This window comes from Homo sapiens, chromosome 2 (assembly GCF_000001405.40).
Source record: "Homo sapiens chromosome 2, GRCh38.p14 Primary Assembly".
In the NCBI taxonomy this organism is placed as follows: Eukaryota; Metazoa; Chordata; class Mammalia; order Primates; family Hominidae; genus Homo; species Homo sapiens.
This window is the reverse complement of record NC_000002.12, coordinates 235,879,052-235,905,473: the sequence shown is the minus strand read 5'-3', so window position 1 is coordinate 235,905,473 and position 26,422 is coordinate 235,879,052. Positions and strand designations below refer to the sequence as shown.

The 26,422-nt window shown below is 44.4% G+C and overlaps 1 protein-coding gene and 1 pseudogene across 4 annotated transcripts in view, besides 3 other annotated features; one reads left to right on the top strand and one right to left on the bottom strand.

Annotated features, from left to right (window-relative positions):
- The window catches only part of AGAP1 (ArfGAP with GTPase domain, ankyrin repeat and PH domain 1), a 637,751-nt gene that overhangs the window by 226,320 nt on the left and 385,009 nt on the right, over window positions 1–26,422 (bottom strand). For all 4 annotated transcript variants that reach the window (NM_001037131.3, NM_014914.5, NM_001436125.1 and 1 more), the window contains exon 10: window positions 22,025–22,129. In NM_001037131.3, the coding sequence (NP_001032208.1) occupies window positions 22,025–22,129 (105 nt within the window). The remainder of the gene's footprint in view (window positions 1–22,024; window positions 22,130–26,422) is intronic.
- Window positions 516–1,050: an enhancer, noted in NCBI's record as "NANOG hESC enhancer chr2:236813068-236813602 (GRCh37/hg19 assembly coordinates)". NCBI's record gives its function as "activates a minimal SCP1, AML or CMV promoter by ChIP-STARR-seq in primed H9 embryonic stem cells {active_cell/tissue: H9 hESC(primed)}" and the evidence as "EXISTENCE:reporter gene assay evidence [ECO:0000049][PMID:30033119]".
- Window positions 1,051–1,586: an enhancer, noted in NCBI's record as "NANOG hESC enhancer chr2:236812532-236813067 (GRCh37/hg19 assembly coordinates)". NCBI's record gives its function as "activates a minimal SCP1, AML or CMV promoter by ChIP-STARR-seq in primed H9 embryonic stem cells {active_cell/tissue: H9 hESC(primed)}" and the evidence as "EXISTENCE:reporter gene assay evidence [ECO:0000049][PMID:30033119]".
- Window positions 12,080–12,580: an enhancer, noted in NCBI's record as "H3K4me1 hESC enhancer chr2:236801538-236802038 (GRCh37/hg19 assembly coordinates)". NCBI's record gives its function as "activates a minimal SCP1, AML or CMV promoter by ChIP-STARR-seq in naive H9 embryonic stem cells {active_cell/tissue: H9 hESC(naive)}" and the evidence as "EXISTENCE:reporter gene assay evidence [ECO:0000049][PMID:30033119]".
- Window positions 22,947–23,357, top strand: TMSB10P1 (thymosin beta 10 pseudogene 1; annotated as a pseudogene).

The window sequence follows — 26,422 nt, the reverse complement described above, 5'->3', positions numbered from 1 at the left end:
AGTGGTGAGTGTTGGTCACTTCCTAAAAAAGGTTTTTCTCAAGCATCTTTAGTTTACTTCCATTAATATCCACTGAAAATATGCAAACCCAACTTTCCAAACCAAAGTTAATGCTTGTAAATAATGAATTCCTTCTTGCACAGTTACTCCTTTAAAAATATCAACTTGCTATAACTTTCTTCCTTAATGCCAATTCTTAACAAATTAAAATACAATAACAGGAGTGTAATTGAGCATTTATTGCTTATGGGCTCTAAAATGAGGCTAATCAGATAGTGACTAAGCCTCAGCATGGGCTCTTTTAATAGGCATGTTTTAACATACAATAACCACGATATTTTATTTAAAATTATTATAGAAATGTACCAAGTGTCTGCTCTCCAGATTCGAAAGCGGCAAGGGAACCCATTTATCTTTAGCTCAGCATGGGCTAAGGGATCTGTTTTCTTGCCTGAGTTAGGCGTTACAACCTCAGAAGAACTAGCTCTAAAAAAAAAAAATAAATAAAATCGGTATTTAAAATAGCCAATTCTTATATTTCAAGGCACTGCACATTTTTAAAAATTTTACAAAATGCATTTCCTACTCAATAAAAGCCCTCCGACTCAGCGCTTCACACACAGGTGGGAGATAAAGACACATGTATCTGTGGCTTCAAGTTCCTCCCAAGAGAAACGACACTGAGCTTTCTGGTTTTGAAAGAACTGATCCTTTTCATCTCTCCCCAGCTTGGTACTTGAGGAATTAAAGCTACAACCACTAAACAATGTCCTCCGTAGAAGTCAAGGGGCTGTGCAGACCCTTCACGGGTCTGAGTTAGGGACCTCGGTAAAATTAAGACAGGAAGCTTGATTTTGATATGCAAATGTTACAGATACTACCCTTCTCCATGTTCCTTGTTGAAAATGCTGATCGAAGATAAAAGAGGAAAAACCCTTTAACAAGGCGTGAGGGTAATTCAAAGCCAAGTACTTTTAAACAGCACTTAACAAGTCCCTGGGGCCCACTCAAGAGCCAGGCCCCCCAGAGGTGCCATCTCCTGCCCCTCAACAGCTTGAAAAAGTAGTAATTGCAAACCTATTTGCATTTTCCTTCTCAAGTTGTCCATGATCATCATGCGGCTTATTTTTTCCAAGCAGGCGCCAGAGCAAAGGGACCTGTTTCCGAACCCGCCAATTGCTCGGTAACTGTGCCTCGCTGTCCCCCTGCAACCCTGCTCCGGCACCTTTGCCATCCCTTGTTTTTTACATTTCGCTCCTAATTATGTTGCATCTATTGCCGTACACTTAATTAGCTGCATTAATGTGATTTCTTTTCACATAGTCAAGCAATTAAGAGCTATGATTGAGTTTCATTCAATTAGCCTCAACAAACATGCTAATTGATGTCCCAGATGCAAATGAGGTGCAATGAGAGAAACCTGCTAGCAATTGAGAGCCGTGTCAGAGACCCATAGCTTTCAGCTTGCTGACAGCAGCACAGCTTAACGTGGCGCCCGCCTTCTGTGGGGCTGCCTTTGGAGAAGGACGCGGAGTCATTAGTATCTCGGTGTACCAGATCCCTCCTGATACAGAGAATTAATTGATTCGCTGCTGTATCACGTTGTCCTAGAATTTCACAGTTATGTGTTCCCAGGACCGGGAGGTTACCAAATGAGTAACACTTGGCTCCAGCAAGGAGGGTGGTACAAAGTCCTCATCAAAATACCGTATTAGGCTACTAAAAAATATACAAGAATTCTCCCCAAAACTACAAAGGGAAAGGTGTGTACATCTTGTCTTGGCAATCCCAGATCCCACTATGTGCCTGATGGCCTCTCCCGTCCTCAGTAAATGGTGAGTTCATCTTAGTCAGCTCTGGGGCCTTTGGCACTTGAAGTTAAGCTCAAAATACAGCAATCCATCAACAGTCCCTAAAAATACCCTTACTATATTGATTCTCACTGCCTCACATCCGGAGGTTACCTTTGGCTGTCTGGTGAAAAGATGGTTTGCTGATGTGTTCACAGGGGTACTAAAAGCAGTTAACAAGATCTTAAAGCTAAACTGAAATGCATACACTATATGATTGGCATCTCAACATTAGATCAGAAATAACCATATGGCTTTGAAAATCTGACAGTGCTTAAGCTCAACTTTCTTCAAGGATAGAAAATGTAATCAGCATACTCCATTTTTACGTATACTTCAAAAAAGTATTAAGACTTTAAATTTACATAGTTAAATGATGGAAAAAAATAATGGAAAATAGTGGCAATCTGTTCCAATTCGTTTTCTCCATTAAGTTCTAGTTTATAACTGTACATGTATGTTGAGAAATATAATATTTTATATTAATATATAATACTGAAAAGATAGATCACTTTTCAGACAAATCAATAAGATTTTCAAAACAATTCAGATACAGTACTTGCCTTTTTATTGCTGTGTTGAAATTTGTTTTGATGGTGCAAACATGCTGGTGATTAACATGAATCAAAGTAGTAGCCCCAAACTGTACTAGTCATCATCACATTATTCACTGGCATGCTCTTTAAGTACAAACAAAAAAGTCTCACAGATGCTCTGAATACACTTAAAAAAAGAAGTGCTACCGATTTTTAAACATTTCGACCTTTGAGTCCATGTCTTCATTTTCTCAGGTATGACATGGAAAAAGCATGCATAAAGCATTTTTGCTGGCTACCGGAGGGTGATGGTTGTCTTGCAGAAACGCACTTCTGCAGCTGTTGGAGTTGCAAGCTGAACCAGCCACTTTTTTGGTGGGACAAGATTTTTACCTGAAAGAATGACTGTGCCAGACATTGACTGACTCTGGTTTTCAGTTCTATGTATGTGGCAAACTTGTATCTCTAACTATGAGCTTGACACCTTCCAAAGACTTAGCAACTTTTCTGACAAGATTGGCGGTGATACAAATGAAAATTTTTGATGTTATATGATGAAAACTATCACTATTTAGAAATCTGCATACTTCATTTCAAAAATAGTTTTTCTTGAAATGACCGGGGTATGACATCACATGCATGGATGCATGTGGATATGCCTGCATGGATAAAACACACGTAAAAGATCATTCAAAGGGCAAGTCAGTTGGATGGATTTTAAGGTAGTAGAGGAGGAAAAAAAATAGTGATTTCACATTGCATTACTAAGCTTTAAGAAACTATCACATGTTGAGTTTTGGTGAAGTGTGCAAGAGGAATATCCACAATTATCTGAAATGAGGGTTGAAATATTCCTCCCTCTTCCAACCACACATCTGTGTAACGTGAGATACTCAAAGACTAACCAAAACAACCTATCACAACAGACTGAAGCAGATACGAGAATCCAGCTGTCTTACACCAAACTGGGTATCAAAGAGACCTAAAAAAATATAAAACAATGCAACCCTTCTCATGATTTTTTATTTTGAAAATTATACTTTTCACAAAAATATTATTTATACTAACATGTAATGGGTGGTTTATTGTTATTTTAAATGGATTACATATTTTCTTTGTTTGAATTTCTAACATGATGAATATCAATAGACAAAATCCATATGAACAAAAGCTCTTTGGGGTCCCTCCATAATTTTTTTTTTTTTTTCCGAGACGGAGTCTCACTCTGTCGCCCAGGCTGGAGTACAGTGGTGTGATCTCGGCTCACTGCAATTTCTGTCTCCTGGGTTCAAGTGATTCTACTGCCTCAGCCTCCTGAGTAGCTGGGATTACAGGCACGTTCCTATGCTCACCTAATTTCTGTAGTTTTAGTAGAGATGGGGTTTCACCATGTTGGCCAGACTAGTCTCCAACTTCTGACTTCAGGTGACCCACCCGCCTTGGCCTCCCAAAGTGCTGGGATTACAGGTGTGAGCCACCACACCTGGCCCATAATTTTTAAAAAGATAAAGGGGTCCTGAGCCCAAAGTCTTGAGAACCACTAGTCTAGCTTCATGTCTGCAAAGCAGCCATTGGCTCCATGTGTATGCTTTTATGTACACAACCGGGGAGGAGCAAAGGGTTGGACTGTGGAAAGATATTGTAAATGTTTTCACATTTGTTTGTTCCTCCTTCTCCTGGAGGAAAAGAATGACTCATTATTCCCTATTTTCACTGCACTTCATGAATATCCAGTATCAAAAGGAAGCAGTAATTTGTGAAGTTCTATTTTTAAAAAGCCTCACTTCTGGGCTCAAAAAAAAAAAAGTATGTAAGAGAAGCCATTGTAAAGTTCACTACTATTCCCAAACTCCATTTAATATTATATTCAAAGGAAACTAATCATAAAGACATATATAGGACCACCCATTCAAAAAGATCAAGCAAACGTTCACATCCCACATTTATGAATAATAAACAATGGCCTTGTACGTAGTCACAGGTGCAGACCAAAGTCATGCTCCTAAAAATACTGTGAAAATATTGTAAAACTATGAAAAATCTTCTGGCCACATCCCTTCAGATCACAGAACTCAAGAAGACAATTACTCTTCTCCCCAAAGGATCATAGTCACAATAGCAAGGTAGGAGGCAGCTTCAAAGGGAAAAATCCCATGAGAAATAACTTTGTTTCCCAAGACAGCCAAAAGCATTCCAGTGTTTCACTTTCAGAACTGCGTTCCTGAAGACTACCTGACCCATGCTTGTAAGTGCATGACAGTGACCAGCAGCCATGGCAGGAGGAAGGCACCTGGCCAATCAGATGTGTAGCATGCACAGAGGCAAACAGCTCATGCTTATGGAATTCACTGGTCTTACCATGTTCCCCATCATCCTGAAGCAGCTGGATTAATAGAATGGTGGAATGGCCTTTTGAAGTCACAATTACAATGCCAACTAGGTGACAATACTTTGCAGGGCTGAGGCAAAGTTCTCCAGAAGGCTGTGTATGCTCTGAATCAGTGTCCAATATATGGTATTGTTTTTCCCATTGCCAGGATTCACAGGTCCAGGAATCAAGGGGCAGAAATGGAAGTGGCACCACTCACCATCACCCCTAGTGACCCACTAGCAAAATTTTTGCTTCCTGTTCCCACAACATTACGTTCTGCTGGCCTAGGGGTCTTAGTTCCAGAGGGAGAAATGCTGCCACCGAGACACAACAACAATTCCATTAAACTGTAAGATTGTCACCTGGCCACTTTGGGCTCCTCCTACCTCAAAGTCAACAGGCTAAGAAGGAAGTTACAGTGTTGGCTGGAGTGACTGACCCAGACTATCAAGATGAAATCAGTCTACTACTCCATCATGGAGGTAAGGAAGAGTATGTGTGGAATATTCTTGACTTAGTAAATGCTTTATTGGGTCTGGGTCATTATGCTACACGTGGTAAACGAGAAGGCTGGTGAGGCCTTGTTGGGGACCAGTGGTGGCAGCTTCATGTACAGTGGAGAGTCCCTACATGATGGCAAAAGCAGACTTCTCTGCTTCATGTGCTGCGGAGGCCAGTGTCCAACATGCGTGGGCTCAAGTCCACCAGTCCAAAGGGTTAAGTTATTCTACTACAAATCAAAAAGCAGAAAATTCTAAATCGAATTATGAATACACCTTTTGCTTCTTGACTGTATCTGTCTTGACTGACCTACTGTATTGAGGTTTACACTGCCTGAAAGATTTTTCTCATTCTAGGTTAAATTGAGTATTACGCAGTTGTAACCCATGCCTGCTCAAACCTAGCCTGTACGATGCATGCCTCGGATATGAAAACAGCTGCTTGTCTCTACACAGTCACTGTAGGCCTCTCATTACAATGAACTTCAAGGAGCCAACACAATTCCTTTGCTGTCCTAGTATTTTAATATTTGAATATGGCTTGAAACAACTGGATCAATAGTTAGATCCTAGAAATTTTGACTTATAAGGAAATGTTCACCATGGTGATACTGCCTGTCTGGGTCTCTTTAAAACTTCAGATTTCTTTGGACGAATTTGCTAAAATGTGCAGCGCTAAAACAAACAGTATATATATATTTTTAAGACACAGTTTCGCTCTTGTTGCCCAGGCTGGAGTGCAGTGGCATGATCTTGGTTCACTGCAACCTCCGCCTCCTGGGTTCAAGCAATTCTCCTGCCTCAGCCTCCCAAGTAGCTGGGATTACAGGCGCCTGCAACCATGCCTGGCTAATTTTTGTATTTTTAGTAGAAACGGCATTTCACCATGTTGGCCAGGCTGGCCTTGAACGCCTGATCTCAAGTGATCCGCCTGCCTCAGCCTCCCAAAGTGCTGGAATTACAGGTGCGAGCCACCGCGCCCGGCCAAACAGTAGAGTTTTAAGACAGCAGAGCATATACATCTGTCCTCTGAGGTGAATATCGATTGCTACATCATGTCTTCTGCCATGAGACCTAAGGTAACACGGACAAACTCCCACTTCAGTTTTTCCCCTTGACAAAGGGTCAGTACTTCTAATTTTTAAACTTTCCACCTAGGCCTATTTAGAAGTCTTCTATACGTATTTTTCCCATGCATTGCTTTTACAGGAACTACTCTTGTTTTCCTAAACATAATGCCTGCCAAGGGAGTTCACAGCACCTTGTATTAGATTCCATTCAAATGAATCAGATAATTCACTGATAACCACACTTTTCTGATTTCCTAAAGAAGTCTTTGGAAGACAAAAGTTGACTTTCTCTTGGTCAGGGAATAAGCCTCGAAATCAGAGTGCCTCCACTCTCCTCCGAGTTGCACACTGGGGGCCTGTCATTCAGTCACTCAGGGTCCCCATGTCCACATCTTTAAAAACAGTTCTAGCTTCATGATACTGTTGCGAGGGTTCACTGAGATAATACTCAAGTGCTTAACAGAGCGCCAAAGCCCTCCATAAATGTTAGCTCTCACCACTCTTGTCCAATAAAAATACTGAACTATTTTCCCTTTGACTTTATGTGGCAATTTCTTGGGCTAAAGGTGTTGTTCCCACTTGAGGTAGCAATTCTGACATGATAAGTCATTAGGGTTGACCTGCAAAGCCATTTTTCACTTTGTAGCACAGGCGGGGGTGGGGGTGGGGGGGGGAACCTGTCCTCTGCAAACGCATGACATTTTCTGCTTTTTCCTCCTTCTCTTCCCCCACCTTTTTTTTTTTTAAATGGGGGAGGCATGTATATGGTAGTCAGACATTTTTATTGCAAAATGCCGTCTGGAAAAGATGCAAAACAAAATTGCTAAAATGCAAGGGGAAAAAAAGAAGGGGGAAAAACAAAAGGCCCCGTTCCCTTTGCTTATTGAGTTCAAAGGCAGAACATGTAGCACCCTGCAGCAAATGGGAAGCTACACTAATTTTAAAGCCATAAAATGCTATCAAGTGCCCTGCGGGGCAGGACTACTCTGAAGCTAGTGGCACCTAAATAAGACATGGTTCATTTACTTCGCAGCTTAGCCTAATGTAATCATCAGCGGATTTTTAGCCTAGAGTTGTAACAGGCAAATAGCCGATGCGGCAGAGGTGGCCCTCCCAGCCATCGAGGGGGCTGCAGCTAGATTGCTGTTGATTAGAAAATTTTTCAGTTTTGACAAGCACTTAATGAACATAAATCGCACCTTGATTGGTTTCCATCTGGGGCCACAGGCACACCTGAGAAGAAACAGGCCTCTCCAGCCCTGCCCCTCCCTACCTACCTTCCAAGACCTCAGCAACAAGCCCGCAATCAGGTTATAAGCCAAAGAAGAAAATATTTATAAAATATAATAATGAAATTCAATTTCTTAGTAGAAGTAAAAGAACATTCCTCATGACCCCCCACAGTCATCCTCTCCTACTGAGTCCTCGGCTGTGACTTACTGTTGCTGAGGAAACCAGAGGGATTTGATTTATTTACCTTGTGTAAGAATTTTTGGCCTCAATGAGTAACACGAAAAGGCCAAAAATGGAAAACAAAATGTTATCAATTGGGTACAAAGGACGGCCAGAGACGATCTGACATATCACGCGGCATACTGGTAGGACGATGTCCCTTGGATTCCACTGGAAGCTTAGAGACTCAAACCCTCCAGCCACACTGTTAAATCTGCTATTTATAGAAACACACATATATTCTATTTTTTCATTTTAACTAGAAATGCAAGAAGGCAGAATTTTTCAATGTTGAAAATAGGTTAGGTAGGATCTACACTATTTAGTGGTATAATTTTTAGAAACATGAGGACTTGGTCAGGCGTGGTGGTTCACGCCTGTAATCCCAGCAGGTTGGGAGGCCGAGGTGGGCGGATCAGTTGAGGTCAGGAATTTGAGACCAGCCTGGCCAACATAGCAAAACCCTGTCCCTACCAACAATATAAAAATTAGCCGGGCATGGTGGAATTGCTTGAACCCTGGAGACAGAGGTTGCAGCGAGCTGAGATCACGCCACAGCACTCCAGCCTGGGCAACAGAGCAAGACTTTGTCTCCAAAAAAACAAATAAAACCAAATAAAACAAAAAACAAACAAAAAAAGAAATAAGAGGACTTTATTTTGTCCAGTCTCACCCTGCTTCCATTCACTGTGTGTCAACAACATCAATAATGAAATGTCGTGAGGATAGCTTTCGGCCCTTTTATTTTTAAATCCCAAACATTTCCAAACCCTGAGGGTATATAAAACAAAGAAAGAATTACATAGACAGAAATAGACTTTGATACAGAGTCCTTTTCTGTGTTGGTGTAACACCAGTGAGTTTTTAGTAGGCTCCATTTCCAACAAAAGTTGTCACTATGCCCTGAAAACATTTCTACTTTTATGGCGGCCTAATTCCTTGGCTTTGGAACTGTTGACACATGGGAGAAACAACTGATCACATTCTTTCAAACAGGTCACATGAATGACAAAGTTCTTTCCCAGGTCACCCAGGTGCTTAGCAAACTCCAGGAGAGCCCATGTGACCATGTCATTGCTGGGTGGTTTTCTTCTTCTTATCACATGGCTTCCAGACCACCATGCATGTTATGAAGCCTGCACAGTTCACTGTGGTCAGGACTGGGCCCAGCAAATGTACCATGACCAGAGTGCTGGTAAGGTTAGGCAGGTTTAATATTCAGCCATACTCTGTAGCTTTCCCATGTTACAGTTTTTACATTTAAAACCCAAGCTCTGAAGAGTTATCTGTATGCTCACATTCCTAGCAGCATTGTCCACAGTGGCCAAGAGGTGAAAGCAAGTGTCCATCCATGGACAAACAAAATGTGGTGTGTACATATGACGGAATATTACTCAGCCTCAAACAGGAAGGAAATTCTGACACACACTACAACTGGAAGAATCTTGAGGACATAATGTTAAATGCAACAAGCCAGTCATAAAAAGACAAACAGCATATGACTTCATTTATATGAGGTTCCTAGAGCAGACAAATTCATAGAGACAGAAACTGGAATGCTGGTTGCCAGGGGCTGAGTGGAGGGGGGATAGGAATTTGTGTTTATGCGTAGAGTTTGTTTTGTAAGATGAAAAAGTTCTGGAGGTTGACTGCCCAACAACGTGAACGTATATGATACTACTGAACAGTATACTTAAAATGATTAAGGTGGCAAATGTTGTATGTATTTTACAATTAAAATGAAAAAAGCAACAAACAAAATCCTGAAGCTTTTCTCCCATCAAGATCCTTCTTTAAGTTGCAGCAAATGGAGCCAGAATATGGCTGAGACATATTTCTGCTTCCTAAAAGTGTTGCATGGTGGATTCCTTCCACGAGGTTTTAGGAACTCTAGTCCGACACATTTAAGGAAAGGTTAAGCATATGGGCTAATTGTGCCTCCATTCATCCATCCATCCATCCATCCATCCATCCATCCATCCATCCATCCATCCAACAAGCCAGTGTTCCAGATGTTAGAGATACATTGGTGACATATACATCCTTGCCTCAAGGAGCTTCCAGTCTTGTGGGAGAATCAGAGAGATGGCCCAATAGAGTAACGTGAGAGCACACACAGCATGGGTGCCCAAATAGGCCGAGTGTGGGGAAACTCCCAAGAGGAAGTAGCATTTAAGCCAGGATTGGAAAGAGGAGTTAGTGAGGCAAAGAGATGGGGCAGAAAAGAACATTCTCAACAGAGGCAACTGCATTTGTGAAGACCCGGAGGCCAGATAACATGGCAAGTATGAGAAACTAAAAGAAAACAAAGACAGCGATAGAGCAGGAAGCAGGTGAGAGGCCAGTCTGAGGAGGCAAGCTGGGGCAAGAGCAGGGGCACGGACATCAACCAAGCGGGAGAGGGGATCTTCTCCATCATGGAAATACATAAAAGAACTCAAAGGAGGGAAATCAACAAAAATATGATGAGAATCACAAGGTGAAAGTTAAAAGCAGCTTAGGAGTAACCGCTATTCTTCATACAGCCTACAGGTTTTGGAAAACTTTATGAGCAGGCCACTGCGCTAGCTGAACTGAGCAAAAATGCAGGCCTGCACACTCAGGGGAGTATGGTCTGCAAGATCACCTCTGTGTGACTTCTGGCGTCATTCTGGATGAATTCCCAGGAGGAAGAGAAAACGGAGGCCGAGGCCGAGGCTGTGGGTGGAGGAAGAAGAGCTACCAAGCAATCACTGCATAATTGACCTTGAGAGGCTCAGTGATTCTCACACTGTGCCTGAGTCCCAGGACTCCACAAAGCCACGTTGGAACCAACATGGAAGCGGGTGGGGCAACGGCAGAATCGGAAACCACAACTGATTCCCAGCTCAGTGTTCTTTGACCTGCACACCAGAAGGATCAGCTAAGAGAGGAGCCGAATCACACTTTAGAATAAAGGAGGGAAGAGATCTTAAGATGGAAGGAGGTAATTTAGATTTGCAAGCCACAAAGTTCCAATGCCTTTACTTCACAATCTACAAGTTGAAATGAAGTTGTGCCCATAGCTGTGTGTGTGTGTGTACATGTGCATGTGTATGTTTAAGTGTGTGTGTATGTGTGTGTGTATGATGTATGTATGGTCCTATGCATGTGTTCACAATACATTTTCACATCCATTTTCTGTTGGAAGCTGCTTCAAATCCTATCTTGGGAAGAGGCAGAGCTGCAGTATGACTTGAAGTAGGCAGTATCTACACGTCAAGGTTCTTGGGGTGACATTCACACCACTGGCTTGAAGGGCCAGATATCCCTGTGAAAGCAATCCACACGGAAAGCTGGACTCTGGCTGTTCCCAGGGAAGCGAAGAACATCACGGACTCAAGGATGTGAGTGTAGGCTCTGTTCAATGGGGATTATCTCTTCGGTCCCAAGAATAGCCAACCAACTGGGGATTCTTCCTGCTTCCCCCGAGCTGACTCCTGCCAGTCTTAGAAACTTGCAGAAATACCCGTTGCGGTTCATATTGTTTCCAAAAGCATTCCCATTTGCCTAAAACAGGCAGCTCAGGCTAGAACAGCAACGTTGGTTTGTTGCCATAGTTCCAGATCTTTGTTCTTTAATATCCGTACAATCTCCTCATATGCCTCTAAATGGATTGCTTTTTGGATTCCAGTGATGTGTTTAGATTTTGCAGCATTTGTAATAATGCCACGTGAGGCAGTGATTACGTGTGTGTGTGTGTGTTCACCCAACCCTATGTCAGTTTAGGGAGGTCATGTTGTAAGACATGGTGAGTACTGTTAGTCTCAATCATACCACAATCTGTAGAGCACAGCCAGGATTGTCAATGTTGAGGGCTGGAGTCCAGGAAGTTCAGGAGCAAAGATGCTGAAGGAGTCACACGATTGGAAACTTCATTGTGGTGGCACTCAAGTCACTGTGACCGGTGTGTACTAAGCAATACCTATGTGCCACTCACATGACAGCCCCTGGGCAGACTGTGGGGAACACAGCCCTCCTCCTCAATGACATACACTAGATGGGGCAGAAAGGGACATTCTCACCCGAGGCAATGATGTACACTAGATGGGGCCTGGGAATCAGGGAGGGCCATGAAGGCACATCTGCATGACGGACACGGCGCACCCTCATGATGGACACGGCACACCCGCACCACAGACATGGTGCACCCTCGTGGACATGCCACACCCACGCCACAAACATGGCTCACCCTTATGATGGACATGGTGCACCCGCACCACAGACACAGCTCTTCCTTATGATGGACACGGCACACCCACACCAAAGACACGCTACACCCACGCCACAGACACAGCACACCCCTATGATGGACACGGCACACCCACACCACAGACAAGCCACACCCATGCCACAGACACGGCACACCTGCGCCACAGACACGCTACACCCACGCTACAGACACGGCGCTTCCTTATGATGGACATGGCACACCCGCGCTACAGACATGGTGCTTCATTATGATGGACATGGCACACCCACGCCACACCCGCGCCAAAGACACAGCGCTCCCTTATGATGGACACGGTGCACACTACGCCACAGACATGGCGCACCCTTATGAGGACACAGCACACCCGCACCACAGACACAGCACATGAAAGGCCAAAGGACAGCTCCAAGCACCTTAGCTTATGACCAAGAAAGCAAGATGAAATAATTTTTGATCTTAAGATGAATCACGCCTTCTGCAGCAGCGTGCCAGACTTGACATGTCTGACTACGCTCTTCTCAGTAAGAAAGGGAGGTCTGTCTTTTTGGTCTTCCCAGCTTCACATCTGAAAATCTGGCCTTCACATTTGTCAGTCCAGTAGCCTGCACAGGAGTTATTCTGACTGTTTCAATGTTCTGGGGAAACCAGTGAAAAGTTTCTCTGAGTGTAAATGAATGTTCACGACCTCAAGAAGTCTGAGGTCCATCCTAGCAGACAGTGAAGGTGGGTGAAGAGATGGATCACAGATTCTTCGTGAATCTTCAATCCTCAAGTAAAATGTTGCAGTCCTATGTGAGGAATTCGTGTATTTACAAAGGCAGTTACAGGCACTGAGCACAGCCACGAGCTGCTATTCTCATAGCAATCTTTTTTTTTTTTTTCTTGAATGATTTCTTTTGAGGAAAATACCTACTTAGGAATCATCACAGATCTTTTTGTTGTCTTTACATCAGTAAAGAAGTGGGTCTTCTGTCTGATTTTGAAACTAGAAACTTTCTGAAATCTGCATTCTGATGATAATTTTAGAGAGTCCAAGTTTGGCTGCCCTGGCTTTGAAAGAACAAAACCAAACTTTGACGACACACAGAATCAAAGGGTTTATGTGTTGCAGGAGAGTCCAAGCCACTCAGATAGAAATTAACCTGCCTAGTAATGAAAAGAAGAAAAGCTCTTTAACAATTTTAAAGGAGGAAAATTTAAGAAGGAAAATTCCAGTATTGCAGGTCAGGGAGAAATGACAGAGCCACAGCTGTTTTAATGTGGGCACATGCAGAATGGAAAGGAATCTAAGAAGGACTTTTTTTTTTTTTTGAGATGGGAGTCTCACTGTTGCCGAGGCTGGAGTGCAGTGGCACCACGTCGGCTCACTGCAACCTCCGTCTCCTGGGTTCAAGCAATTCTCCTGCCTCAGCCTCCCAAGTAGCTGGGATTACAGGCACCCACCAGCACACCTGGTTAGTTTTTATATTTTTAGTAGAGATGGGGTTTCACCATATTGGCCAGGCTAGTCTTGAACTCCTGACCTCAGGTGATCCATCCACCTCAGCCTCCCAAAGTGCTGGGATTACAGGTGTGAGCCACCACACCTGGCCAGAAGGAGGTTTTTTAAAAGTCTGACCAGTTCATGCACGTCTGCCAGGTATGGCCCGGAGGGGAGGAGTTTCACAGCTGCCAAACGACCTCCTGAGGAAGCCCAGAGAGCCAGGACCGGAACACTGGTGAGCTTTCCTAGACAGGGGCACCTTGAAGTCCTTGGCTTGACCGTGAGGCCACTCAGCTCATCCTTCCAGGTCCACTTAGGAATCTCACTGCACACATCTTTGTCAGCAGGGAATTGCAGCCTTGCACTCGACGGCCGTGCTTGCGACATGGAAGATGAATAGGTGGCCACGCTGAACTGTGAAGCCCTGAGGTCCAAGTTCTTTCTCATTATGCCTCCATTTTTCTATCAAGGTGCTCCCTAAGGCTCACATTTAAGTCCACAGAAAGGGACTCTCAGGGTCTTAGAACAGGCTGCCCTCGATCCACCTGAACTGTGATCCAGCAAAGTGTCTGAAAACCATGAGACACTCATATATATTTCCCCCAAGAAAGTTAAGCAGTTAGGGCTTTTTAAAGGTCTTGGAGACATACAATTTTTCAAAGACACAAAAATGTAGACCGCAGAGCAGCAGCATCAGCCAGCGTGCTTGCTTTGACCGTGTCAGTCTTATTTAAATGTTTAGGGTTATCATTGCAAAATGCGAAGTGGAGATAAAGGAGCTGTTAGGGCGGTCAGTACTGCAGCAAGTGCGGCCAGGTCCCAGATTGCCTGGGACTTCCCTGATGTTAGCTATGAAAGTCCTGCACCCTGGGAACCCCTCAGTCCTGCAGAAAACCAGGGCAGTTGGCCACTCCATTAAGGCAGTTTCATTCATTATTTGGTTGAGTTTTCTATCTGTTATCTCAACTGGGTTTTGGTTTCATTTAATAATAGCATCTTGAGAAAGAAAGATGAATTAACTGAGGTGTTTTTTTTTTTGAGCCTCAGTTTTAGTCTTACACCCAGTAGCTTCAACTTCAGGACAGCGTTTTCCTTAGAAATCCAACTAACTCCATTAGCTTGAGTTTGCTGAGAGTTTTTGGTGAAAGTTTTAGAGCTCACATTCTTCAGAGTCTGAAGTGACCTAGAAGACAATGTCATCAAACTTCCTACCCAGTGAAAGAATTCGTTCTCCATGTTTCTAAAACGGACACCTTCCAGCCAGTTTCCCAATGTCTACCTTCAAACACACCCACTAGAACGGATGTAGCCTGAGCGTCTGCAGCAGGGCACCTCTGTGTGATCTGAAAGCTATGCAGGTGTGCTCCAGCTCCTGGACAGGCTGGGCAGCCCCCGCCCACTGTCAACTGGTGGCTGAACATACTCTGTGAGGGAAGCAATGATGTGGACGCTGTAGGTTCATTCACCCCTCCCCACTCTGGTGCTGTCCTTGTTATCCTGCCCCACCACTGGCCTTTAGGAATAACCACAGCTGGGCAGAGTGGCTCATGCCTATAATCCCAGCACTTTGGGAGGCTGAGGCGGGTGGATCACTTGAGGTCAGGAGTTTGAGACCAGCTTGGGCAACATGGTGAAATCCCATCTCTACTAAAACAAAAAATTAGCCAGGCGTGGTGGTGCATGCCTGTAATCCCAGCTACTTAGGAGGCTGAGGCAGGAGAATCACTTGAACCCAGAGGTTGCAGTGAGCTGAGATCGTGCCACTGCACTCTAGCCTGGGGGACAGAGTAAGACTGTCTTAAAAAAAAAAAAAAAAAAGGGAATAACTACAGTGGAAATCTACCATCACTTCCTCCTGTGCCCATACCTCCTTCTCTCAACCTACACAGCATGGAAGTGCAGGGACCCCATCATCCTGAGGCAGCCAGTGCTAACACCTCCTAAGCCTTTGGGGAAGAGCTGAAGGAGGCTGGGAGATGTGGCTGTGGGTGATGGCTGGGGTCAAGACTTCACAGAACCCAAGCTGAGCAGATCTGGGGCCTGGAGGTTATCACTGGCATAAACTTTCATGGAGCTTTCTTAGTCTGAGTTGGCTCCATGTTTTGCTTCTTTTCCCCTCTGATTTCCAGGGAAATTATCACATCCTATGACCTGGCTATTCCATAAGCAATTCTATTCCACTGCTTAGAAACAGAGGTTCTCTCCTAAGAAAAAGGTTTGAGGTTTTCAACAACATGAAACAGACCTGGAGAAAAAGGTTTCCCTCCATATCTTCTATCTGTGGTGTAGGAAGGGTATGTAGATTTAGCTTATGTCCTAAGTAAAGGACAGAGTGAGGCTGAGCTGCAAGTCAAAGGAACTAGGGATTACTGGTCTCCTAAACAATCTATGTAAGGACTGAGCTTGGGGCTCAGGGCTAAAAAAAAAAAAAAAAGGCAAAGACACTTTTGGGGGATGACGAGAAAGGAAAGAGAAATCCAAAGCAATTAAGTGGGAAGGAAAGTGACATCCCAGGGCCACCACCCAGCTGAAGTCCCTTGTCATGATCTTCTGCAAGTAGAAAGCTGCCCCAGTTCTGAGGGAGACACGCAGTCCCTGGGGATCAGTATTCGTGAGGTTCCCAGGCAGCCGACCCATTCTAGGTACATTTTCAGCCTCACACCAGCCCCACGGTGTCCTGCAATGTCAGGTTTCCCCAGTTTCATGACTGGCTGCTTTGTTCTGAAGCCACAGTTTCAAAGAGCAGGTCATCCTGCTGGGATTCCACGAGCTCGGTGCACAGCACGGCCACATACCGACTGTTTGTTTGGCCAAGAGCTGGGTTTATTTTCGAACACACCGATGTGTGGAAAACATCTGTCTGGGACTGATACTTGAAGTTCGTGTCCAAAGGTGATCGATCTTTCACACAAACACTTCCGTGGACACTTGTGCAATAAGCAAACTGTGTTCAGATACCTCAGGAACAGAAATGACCTCTTCAGGGAGATCTTTTCCTAAGGGCATCTAATGAAGACATTGAAAAACCCTCACCCAGAGTTTTTGGCAAGGTTAGGAAATGGTCAGTCTCCTGCTTCCACAGTGTGCAAAGGAACTGAAAGCCAGAGCTCCCCACTGCTGGGGTGTCTTTCCCAAACAAAGGTATGAGGATGCTGGCACTGCTGGGAGCACGCAGGAGCTGAAGTGGCCACAGGGAAGGCTGGGGCAGTGGGTGGCCGCTCTACCCGACAGCAACAAATGCTGTACCTGCCTCTATCAACTTTTTTTTTTTTTTTAAAGACAGGGTCTTGCATGGTCGCCCAAGCTGGAGTGCAGTGGCACGATCATAGCTCACTGTGAAGCCCTGACCTCCTGGCTCAAGTGATCCTCCTGCCTCAGCCTCCTGAGTAGCTGGGACTACAGGTGTGCTCCACCACACCTGGCTCACTTTTTTATTTGTTGTAGAGATGGGGTCTCTCCATGTTGCCCAGGCAGGTCTATCAACTCGGCCCTTGCTTGCCTGTCTTGTCTAGGGAGGACTGGTTGGGGAGCTCGCCTGGGAATTTAATTTGGTTGACTAATGCAGGAGCTGTGTGGAGCAGCCCTAGGAGGGGAGTCGAGCCTTCTAGACCCTCCTATCCCACACAGGCAATCCTCTGACATCAGCTACTATGCCTGAACATCCCTGTGTCACAGAGGGAGAAAGACAAGGGTGGTAAAGACCCTCGATTCCACCTTCTCGGTTTGATCCTAAAGAACAAATAATCCTGAGATCCTCCTGAACTACCCGCTCCCCCGCCCCCTGCCCATAACCACATTGGCCTATTCCGTTTAAACTTGACTCAGTTGTTTACTCTTGCTCCAATGTTCCTTGTGTGCAAGACCCTCTCCCCAGCTCCCTGAATTTAACATGATAAGCAAATGGAAGGAGGCTGGTGGTGGCACCAGGGCGCAGCCTTACGTGGACTGTGAGCGGCACACACGTGGACAGAAGATAAATGTCTGTGCCGGAAGGGAGAGGCCTCACCACCACGAGCAAGCGCTGCCGGTGATGGGCTGCCGCACGGCCCTATCTCATCTCTGTCTGAATCTTCCACGTTTAATACAACTGCAAGCCTGGCGCTCTCAAGTCAGCACCCCATAATAGAAGTATTAGCTGATTAGAATCCCGTCTCCCCAAAAGCATGCTAGTTTCCTTTTTAGTCCACTAATTACCTGGGCTTCTTAAATTAGTGGTATACACCAGGAATCGGTGCAGCAACCTCACTATTGATACCCGTTTACATCTTTGTAGAAAACTAAAAATATCTGATGGTTTGGCCGGGATTTTTTTTCCTGGGCTCTGTGGAAAAGAACGGGCTGTAGGCTATGCTATATGAGATCAATGCAGGCCCCTGCTCCGGGGGCTCTTGTGTTGGAACCTGGGCCCCATCTGCCTTTGAGAGAAAAGGTGGATGAGAATAGTGTTCTCAGAAACCAGATAACATTTTCCTCTAGTGTAAAACAGGGAGTTATTCTGGTCCACTGACAGGTTAACATCTACTTTTAATGACTTGATATAGGTCTACAGAGGCTGGACATGGGCCTGAATCCCAGAGGAGAGAAAAGGAGGCAGGTTCCCATGTTCAGACAATAGGGTGTTACCAGGGAGAGGCCCCACTTCACGCTGTGGTCAGTAATAGAGTTAGGAGCAACAATAATGACTCTGAAACCCAAACACCAGCAATCCTGGCAGCTTTCCCAACACTTGACCACTTATGCCACCACTGCATGTGGCCAATGACTCTCAGTGGTCCTTCTGCCGTAATACATCCTGGAGATAGCCAAGGATGTGGGTGTCACAGCATGGTCCGTGTTTAACTGAGATCATCTGGTTCTACGATCTTTTGAAATTTTCCAGACTGAGATAACTGGGTCACTCTCACGGTGTAAAATTTTGGGACCTGAACTAGCAACACATTTGCACATTCTCAAGTTTCTTATGAAGGAAAATCTGGATTCGGCTCGTGGGTGTCCCATTGAATGCCTCTTCCCATTTTGAACCAAGACCACCAGACTAACTCAGCTGGTGTGGGTCAGCACTTCCCCTAACAAGTCACAACAGAACGGACTCGTATGCACCTGTCAGAGAATACACCTGGAAGTCACTGCCTCTCCACACTTTTATCCAATGCTTGGCTGTGAAAATGAAACCCATGAAGGATTACGTGGAAGGTCATGCCATCTCTTCAGGCTCTAGTGATTCAAATCCATTCCTGGATTAAGCCCCTTCCATAGGGAACTACGTACCTGCATCAAAAATTTCAGTTCCAAGGAGACTGGCATTAAAAGGATTGCATTTGAAAATGACATTGGCTCTTGCTTGCTATACAATTATACAACAAAGCCCCATTGCGCCCCTCTTCCGTACTCCAGTAAGATTCATGCATACTTATGAATGAAGGAGAAAGGATGGAATTGGCAAACACTGAGGGACATCACAAAAAAAAGCCTGTGGATAGGAGAATTTTTGAAGAACTGGTTGTGATTATATACTCAAGGGATTGGATGAAAAGCAAACAGGCTTTAGGCCTCCTAAGGGAATCTTCTGATACATATCGTTGTTACCATATCTGCCCCTTGGCAAGAAGCAGCAAACATCCCTTCGACTGAGCCTGAGCTCAGCAGTGAGCATATGTTGACTGGAAATGTATCATCCATCAGCTCTCACTTTTTACTGGTCAGTGAGTCTTACCAAGAATGATATTTTGATTGCACTTCTCTAACTTACATAAAGCGACTGGTTCAATAGTTAGACCTCTGCTCTCTGACAGGGTCCATAGGAGGAGCTAAGCCAGTAACAGGGCAGCCCGGCCACTGCTGATGGAGCAACTTTGCAGAGAGAATCCAGGGAAGACCTGGTGCCTCGCTGTTGTTCTGATGGATGGAAGCTGGGTGTGGAGAGGGCTGCAGAACTGGAGACCTACATGGGGCAGTCCTGGAGAGATGCCAACCTGGTCCCAGGTGGGCGTCATGGAATGGGTATTACATCTCTTCGATCTGAAGGCCCCCTGGAGAACCAGTCTGACTATATTCCAAAACTAAACTAGCAGGACACTGAGCACAAAGGAATTTCCTTACTGCAATAAAGAATATCTATGTAAGAATCTATCCATATCTGCATCTCGAATCCCACTGAATAGTAACGCATGGGAGGTGCTTTCAGTAACAACAGAAACCAGTGAGAGATGCCGACGGAAGACCTGCTTTGCTGCGTGGTTCTGAAAGGTATAGCTACGCTAAAAGACAAGGAGACAAGGGCAACTCAAGACGCCAGCAAGCGAACTCAGCATCAAGGTTCCCATGTGCTACCTATCATATTAGGAAAAGCTCTTCTTTCTGAAGGTAAATGTTCTTGAGAGGGCAGAGAAAAGGCTCTCTTATACACTGCCAGATGAGATAAACTGATACAACCTTTCTGGGAATTTGACAAAATACAGCAAAAACCATGAAAGCACATGCGACTCTTCAACGCAGGAAGCCAATTGCTAGGAATGTATCCTAGGCAAATTGGACAAGGGGACAGAGAGATAAACAGAGGAACGTTGATTAGAGTTCTTTATGACAGTGAAAAAACTGAAAGTAAATTTATCTGCCAAGGTTCATTTTTCAGATACCGTGGGATCAATGAAGGCACATCCACACAGTGGAATATTATATAATCATTAAAAATGGTGGTGTACAAGTATATTTCTTGACATGAAAATATCTACTATGAGTGAGGAAGGCAGGCTGTGGGCAGTGTATACACAGTGACCATGTGCTTGTGGAAGGAAAAGAGAAATATACATAGAAATAGCCGGGAGTATGCACCCTAAAATGTGAAGTCAGGTTCCCTAGGTGGTATTTTAGGAATGATATTAATTTTCTTCAATATGCTATTTCTAACTTCTCATCAATAACTGTGCCATTTTACAAAGCATTTCAAAATTTTAAAAATTAATAGCTTGGCTGGGTGTCATGGCTCATGACTGTAATCCTAGCACATTGGGAAGGCGAGGTTAGGCAGATTGCTTGAGGCCAGGAATTCAAAACTAGCCTGGGCAACAGAGGGAGACCCAGTCTCTACCAAAAAATACTGCTGCTGCTGCTGCTGCTGCTGTGACTATTACTACTAGCCTGACACAGTGATATAAAGTTGCCTTTTGTTATCTGTGGATTCTGAATGTGCAGATTCAATCAACTATGGATTAAAAATATTCAAAAGAAGGCCAGGCGCGGTGGCTCAAACCTGTAATCCCAGCATTTTGGGAGGCCGAGGCAGGCGGATTTCTTGAGGTCAGGAGTTCAAGACCAGCCTGGCCAACATGGTGAAACCACGTCTCTACTAAAAACACAAAAAAATTTAGCTGGGCATGGTGGCAGGCACCTGTAATTCCAGCTATTTGGGAGGCCAAGGCAGGAGAATTGCCTGAACCCAGGAGGCAGAGGTTGCAGTGAGCCAGGATCGCGCCACTGCACTCCAGCCTGGGAGACAGAGTGAGACTCCTCTCAAAAAAAAAAAAAAAAACAGTGAAAAATAACCTAATACAACAGTGAAAAATTATACAAATAAAAAACAATAGTATAGCAACTATTTACAGAGAATTTACATTCTATTACATATTATAAGTAATCTAGAGATGACTTAAAAGTATAGAGGATGATACTCTCAGGTTATATGCAGATACTATGCCATTTAATATAAGGGACTCGACCACCATGGATTTTGGTATACAAGGCAGATCCCAGAATCCATCCCCCATAGATACTGAGGGACAATGGAATCAAATGACTGACTTCCACCATATATTCTAATCTACACATTTCTCTGCATCAAGTAAGAGTTATGGAATGGTTTGCTATGAAACTAGAACACCCCAACTTTAAATTTTATCAAGGGTAGAATGTCTGCATTTTTTTATATTTTATCAATGGGTAGAACGTCTGCATTTCTTCCCCAAGAATAAAGTTAATTTTGTTTATACATCTATCTTATACACCACGGATATAACAAACTTATATGTAACATAAACTTACATATAACACAAAGAGGAGAGTTTCTTTTGCCTAATGCACTGGAATGTGTTATCTGACAATAAAAGCTGAGTCATGAATTGCATTTGACTTCTGATTATTGTTCACAGCTTTTCAAAGCTAAATCCTGGGTTCAAATGTAATTGTTTCCTTCATTCTCGATTTTCAGATAGACCACTCTTCTCTCCTTTCTCTTTTCTCCTTGCCCCTGTCTTTTTACTCTCATCTAAAATTTTACTTCATCTGTGCCTTTTATTGTAATTCTTTGTAGAATTGGAAAGCCACAGATTGACTGGTAGGGAGGGGAAGAGAGAGAAAGACATATGGTCTAGTGGAGTGTGAGGAACAGGGTTATTTATCTCACAGTTGAGCAGGAGACCAAATACGACTTTCACTTCAAACAGAGACAAGAGGCTGGGCTGCTGGTAGGTTCCCCTTCCCCACAGTGTTTAGTTGAGGTCTGCAGCTGTTAATTGCTCCGAGGGGGCTATACTCACATGTAAACTGGGATGATAGGTCAGCACGCCATTGTCACACAGGGTGACATATTTCTTTTTCCACTCTTTATTCAACGATTTGCCACTTCGCTTCAACAGCATGCCCTACAAGGGAAAAAGAGCCAAATAGAAATTCTAATGTAAATAAAAAAAAGAAAAGGCAGGTACACAGGCAACATATACATTCAAGTTCTGTGTGTGTGCAGAACTTCACTCTGTGATACTGGCGAATGCTAAAAGATATGCCATTAGTTCAACAAATACGACACAAACACATTGAGACGTGCTACACTAGATCTTTTGGATAATTAACTGCTAAACACACAGGAAACACCTAAAGGTATAATGTTTTAAAGAAAGAAACCCCAGGCTGGGCACGGTGTAAGGATCGTTTGAGCCCAAGAGTTCGAGACCAGCCTGGGTAAGATGCTGACACCCCCATCTCTAAAAAAATAAATAAATAAATAAAATTAGCTGGGCACGGTGGTGTGCTTCTGTAATCCCAGTTACGTGGGGGGTTGAGGTGGGAGGATCTCTTGAGCCCAGGAGGTTGAGGTGGCAGTGAGCTATGATTGTACCACCGTACTCCAGCCTGGGTGACAAAGCGAGTGAAAGAAAGAGAGAGGAGAGACAAAGAGAAAAAGAAAGAACAAACTAAAAAAACTGCATTAACCAGGCCGGGCACGGTGGCTCACGCCTGTAATCCCAGAACTTTGGGAGGCCGAGGTGGGCAGATCACCTGAGGTCAGGAGTTTGAGGCCAGCCTGGCCAACCATGGCCAATATTGGTGAAACCCTGTCTCTACTAAAAATACAAAAATTAGCTGGACGCAGTGGTGGGCACCTATAATCCCAGCTACTCGGGGAGGCTGAGCAGGGGAATTGCTTGAACCCAGGAGGCAGAGTGTTGCAGTGAGCTAAGAGCCCGCCACGGATGGTACCGATTGTTTTAAGAAAATGGCAGACAAACCAGACGTGGGGGGAATCGCCAGCTTCAATAGGGCCAAGCTGAAGAAAACGGAGACGCAGGAGAAGAACACCCTGCCGACCAAAGAGACCACTGGGCAGAAGCGGAGTGAAATTTCCTAAGAGCCCGGAGGATTTCCTGCCCTCGTCATCCTTAAGACCCCAGTTGTGATGTGGAGGAAGAGCGACCTGCAAGATGGACACGAGCCACAAGCTGCATTGTGAACCTGGGCACTCTGCACCGATGCCACTGGCCTGTGGGTCTCTGAAGGACCACCCCCAATCAGATTGCCAAATTCTCTGGTTTGCCCCAGGACATTATAGAAAATTATTTCTATGAATAATGAAAATAAAACACACCTTGTAGCCAAAAAGAACAAAAACAAAAACAACCAAACACAAAAAAACCCACCAAAACAAAACAAAACAAAAACCACAAAAAAACCCCAGAAAAACCCAAACTGCATTAACTGTATTCTCACCTTATATTTGTAAAGCAGAATTTTTTTACAGTTTCCTTCATTTCAGATTTTTTATTAAAACCAAAATTCCACTGGCAAATTTCAGTAACAGTATTTAATAGATGAATCCCATGTAATTTACTCTAATTCATTTTTAATGAAATCATATTAAGCCTCCTTGAAAACCACTCAGAATTTGAAACCAACACATTTTTGAAGTCATGTTTAATCCAGTCTTCTTAAATGGTGGTTGAGAATTTCTTCTTGTTTTAACACCAATTCCCAGCAAACCTTGCTCTACCTTGACAGGTTTCCCTTTGTTAAGGAAGCTGACGGCCAACACTGAGCTTGGGCAGGCCCCACACCTTGAGCTGGGATTCTCTCCTGCTCAGCCTGGGCTCCATGCCTGTCCAGCTCAGTCCCTTTCAATGGCAGCGTTCACATCGGGAGTCTCTGTCTCTGTCTTCCTCCCTTCTCATCTAACTCTGGCCCATGTTAACCAAGAAAAATGGAACAATCTCTTTACTTCCTCTTCTCCTACCCTTTTATAAACTTATGTAACCTTAATATGACTGAGAGAGCGTAAGACTCAGGCTAGTTAATTCACCTGGACTGAGGCAGAAGGAAAGTTATGAGTTTTGAAATACAAGAAGACGCTTTGAGAAAGCCGAGATGCCCCACGAGTCACCTTCAGAACTTTTCCCAGCCTCCATCGACCTCCTAAATTCTGCTATCTTTCAAGAATTACAACATAAGAATGAATAATTATTATGGGATATAATTGAGTTCAAGTCCAATTAATTACCAATACTGTGACAATACTGTTTTTTATTTACTAGATCGTAACCAAGTTTCACAAACTTAATAAAGTATGAGCCAGCTTGGGGCTGCAATCACCATTAGACATTGTTGCTTAAGGGAAAATATTTGAGTTTGAAACGACTTTAGAAGATGATTTCTTTGCAAGTTCTTATTAACGGAAACGTGGCAAAATGTGGCATACCTTGATTTCTTGGAATCTAAATCGCTATACACCAAATATGGAACTGAGACCAATCAACCCAATGAAGCCCACAGGAAAATGCTACTAAGTTGCAAACCAAGACAATAAGGGCTTCCTTGCATGGCAGGAATTAGAGAAGGGCAGTCACCATCAGCGATGCGGTAATAAACAAGCAATTGCTTCAACTCATGAGAGACCCCTCTTCAGTGGGATTCCCGTGGATTTTAAAACTTAGCATAACAAAGCCTCACTCAAGTTCTTTTTTTGTTTTTTTTTTTTTTGAGACGGAGTCTCGCTCTGTCGCCCAGGCTGCAGTGCAGTGGCGCGATCTCAGCTCACTGCAAGCTCCGCCTCCCAGGTTCAAGTGATTCTCCTGCCTCAGCCTCCAGAGTAGCTGGGATTACAGGCAAATGCCACCATGCCTGGCTAATTTTTTTTTTTTTTGTATTTTTAGTAGAAATGGGGTTTCACCATGTTAGCCAGGCTGGTCTTGAACTGCTGACCTCAGGTGATCCACCCGCCTCGCCCTCACTCAAGTTCTCCAGTGGGCTCCCATTTTTCCGTCATTCATTTCAGATGGAATTTCAACAATGCCAGGGCCACGGTCTCTGGTGTCACCAGGAGATTACAGATGCTCCAGGCTTCATTCAGAAAGCTTCATCCCTTCCCACTCAGACAAATGCTGGCCACGGCGCACACCCTCGGGGCTCCACGCGGATGGATTTGCACCACTCTTCTGGCTGGCGTGTGGGAGGTACTTTCGTGAGGAAATCACATCCTCAAAATTGTCCTGCCCCCAGTGAAGGCTACGAGGACTTATTTGTTAAGGAAAAAGGGGGAAACAGTCTAATCGGGAGGCATGTGAAGACATCATTTTATAGCTTTCTGAGGAACTAAATTAGGCTGAATTAAAACTTTAAAAAAAAAAAAAAAAAAAGGCCAGAGTGCAGTGATGCTATCATAGCTCCTTGTGGCCTTGAACTCTTGGGCTCAAGTGATCCTCCCTCCTTCCTCCTGAGTAGCTTGGGACTACAGGCGTGTGCCATCCTGTTCGGCTAATTTTTTTATTTCTGTTTTTTGTAGAGATAAGGTCTCGCTCTGTTGCCCAGGTTGGAGTGCAGTGTACTGATGCAATTACAGCTCACTGCAACCTTGAACTTTCCAGCTCAAGCAATTCTCCTGCGCCAGCCTCCTCCGAGTAGCTAGGACTACACACACATGCCACCATGTCTGTCTAATTTTTTATTTTATTTTTTGTAGAGACAGGGTCTCATCATCTTGCCCAGGCTGGTCTCGAACTCCTGGGCTCAAGCAATCCTCCCACCATGGCTTCCCAGAAGTGCTGGGGTAACAGGGGAGTGAGCCACCATGCCTCGCTTAGGTCTTTAGAAAGTGCTGGATGACAGGGAGTGAGCCACTGTGCCAGGCCTACGCTGATTTTCTTTTGATCCTAGGAAAACTCTCAATAAACTTAAGATCTTATTAAATAAGTAAACTTAACTTAAACTCTACGTCTTGCCAGGGGGGATAATCTTGGATTATAGGCACTATTCAAATGCTGCGTAAGTGGCAGGACTACAGAATACCCTGGCCTCTTAGGAGTCATATTTCTGCCTTCCAGCCTTGGCCCCAGTTGGGTTTATTATCTGACCCCCCCAAGAATTGCTGTGGCGACCAAGAGCCACTTGGCTGCCCCGCTTGCCATGTCATGGCTGTGGTCTAGCTGGGCTGGGGCAGGTGCACTTTTCTTTCAGTGGCTGGAGCACTACCCCATGCTCAGCCCGGCTGTGCAGTCATGTCCCCTGCTCCCCAAAGGAACAAGTCAGGGGCAGCGAAGTTATGGAAGCCATGGCTCCCTGAAAGCCAGGACTGAGTTACACAGGGGAAGTGTCTTGTTAGCTAACGGAATGTGGCAGGGCCAGCTCTCCTGCCGTCTTCACTCCTGCCAGGACACTGGGCTGCTGGGCTG